Raw genomic sequence first — 1,923 nt, forward strand, 5'->3', positions numbered from 1 at the left:
AGTTCTGGGCTCAGTTTTGCCAGCCCCACGAACTCCCATCTTTGTTGCCCCCAGGAGAGGCCATGACTACACCCTTGATAACTTGGCCCTTTCCGCTGTCTGTGTTCCACAGCCCCCTTTCTCGTAAGCTGTCCAAACCTGTCTTCCTGAGGACAAAAAGAACTTCACTACAGGGTGAAAAACTGTCTTCCCAATCTGCAAATGTGGCTGCACGTGACAGGAATAATTTAACTACCAATTAAAGTGTGTGTGCTACAGAAGCACTTCTCATCCTCATTTGCTTTATCAGTGTTCATTTATGAATCCATTTTTTTCTGTCTATTACCCATCGGTAATGAGACCTTAGCAATAGCCTCCGAGTCTCCTCTTGCCAAATCTGCCATCACCACCCCTTCCCAGCACCACAGACACTATCGTGGGGACTGCCCAGACAGCCAACGGGCCAATCTTCTTAGACACTTGTTTTTCATCTCTCTCTCTCTCTTGCTTATAAATCTTCTGTGATTCCCCATCACAAATAGAATAAAGCTAAAACATCTCCACTTGACATTCCTGAGTTTAGCCGGCTCTTTCTCTGTTGCAGTTCTCTTGTCTTAATAAATCGGTTCTATCTAGGCATCAGCCAAGAAGAATCCACTGGGCTAGGTTACAGAAGAACAAGAATAACTTCAAAAGCACTTTTCAACTACCCCATCCAACTTCCTCATTTTACTCACTTCACAGATTCAGACAAAGATCCAGACATACTCAAAGAACTGGTGGAGTAGGAAGTGGAGATAATTCTGCTGCATTCTGAAAACCACACCATTAAAACAGATTAATTCCTGGTGTTCAGAGAACCATTTACATTGCTGATGAATTCATTACTTGTGCCACAATGCTTTCTTACCCATTGCTTGGCTGAAAAGAAAAAAAAAGTCTCAAACCCCATAAGTCCCCATTTTCACTTTTCCCCATATCATAAAGCTGAAATGCAATAACAAACTCGCTTTCCGTTTTTGTCATTAACATAGCAATTTATTCTATTACTCCTAAAGTTTTGAAGACAAATATCAATATCAATGTCTAATTTTGTTGCCTCTCTCTCCAACCAGTCTGTAAGTCTTATGAGATGTTTGCTCACCCTTCTATCTCCAGCAGTTAGTGTAGTGTTTGGCTTGCACTGGCTCAAATGACAGTCCTTGAGTGAATGAATGGATGGCTCTTAGATACACGGTCTTCTCACTGCAGTATATGCTCATTCGCTCTCAAAAGACTAACTTAGCAAATGGCACTGATTAAGGTGGAATGTAAGATCAATCCTAGTTATTCTAAGAAGCCTTAACAGGTACAGCACCAGCCCCAGGAAAAACTAAAAAAAAAAAAAAAAATTTTTTTTTGAGGCTGGGTCTGGCTCTGTTGCCCAGGCTAGAGTGTAGTGGCATGGTCTTTGCTCACTGCAACCTCCAACTCCTGGGGTCAAGCCATCCTCCCACCTCAGCCTTCCTAGTAGCTGGAACTACAGATGCACACCACCACACTGAGCTAATTTTTGTATTTTTTGTAGAGATGGGGTTTCAGCATGTTGCCTAGGCTTGTCTTAAACTCCTGAGCTCAAGCGATCCTCCTGCCTCAGCCTCCCAAAGTGCTGGGATTATAGGCATGAGCCACTGCACCCGGCCAAAAACTGAATTTTTGAAGTGTCATTTCCTAGGCCTTTTCTTTCAATCTCCTTTTCTCCCCATTTTCAATATTTCCTCTGCCCTGACCATGTAATATTGTGGGACCATTTTCCCCTATAATTTTCATATCAGTATAAAAGTAGTGAGAAGAACAAAACATAGACTGCAGGATATTTTCATCTCATCTTATTGTAAGCTTAATAGACCTTAAAGCAGTTAGCTTTGAACTTTACTATGCGTCAGAATCACCCGAGGCTCTCAT

General features: G+C 42.2%; 1 annotated feature.

The window, feature by feature from the left end:
• Positions 475-604: an enhancer, noted in NCBI's record as "active region_13399". NCBI's record gives its function as "activates an Ori minimal core promoter by ATAC-STARR-seq in GM12878 lymphoblastoid cells {active_cell/tissue: GM12878}" and the evidence as "EXISTENCE:reporter gene assay evidence [ECO:0000049][PMID:35858748]".

This window comes from Homo sapiens, chromosome 18, assembly GCF_000001405.40.
Source record: "Homo sapiens chromosome 18, GRCh38.p14 Primary Assembly".
Lineage (NCBI taxonomy): Eukaryota > Metazoa > Chordata > Mammalia > Primates > Hominidae > Homo > Homo sapiens.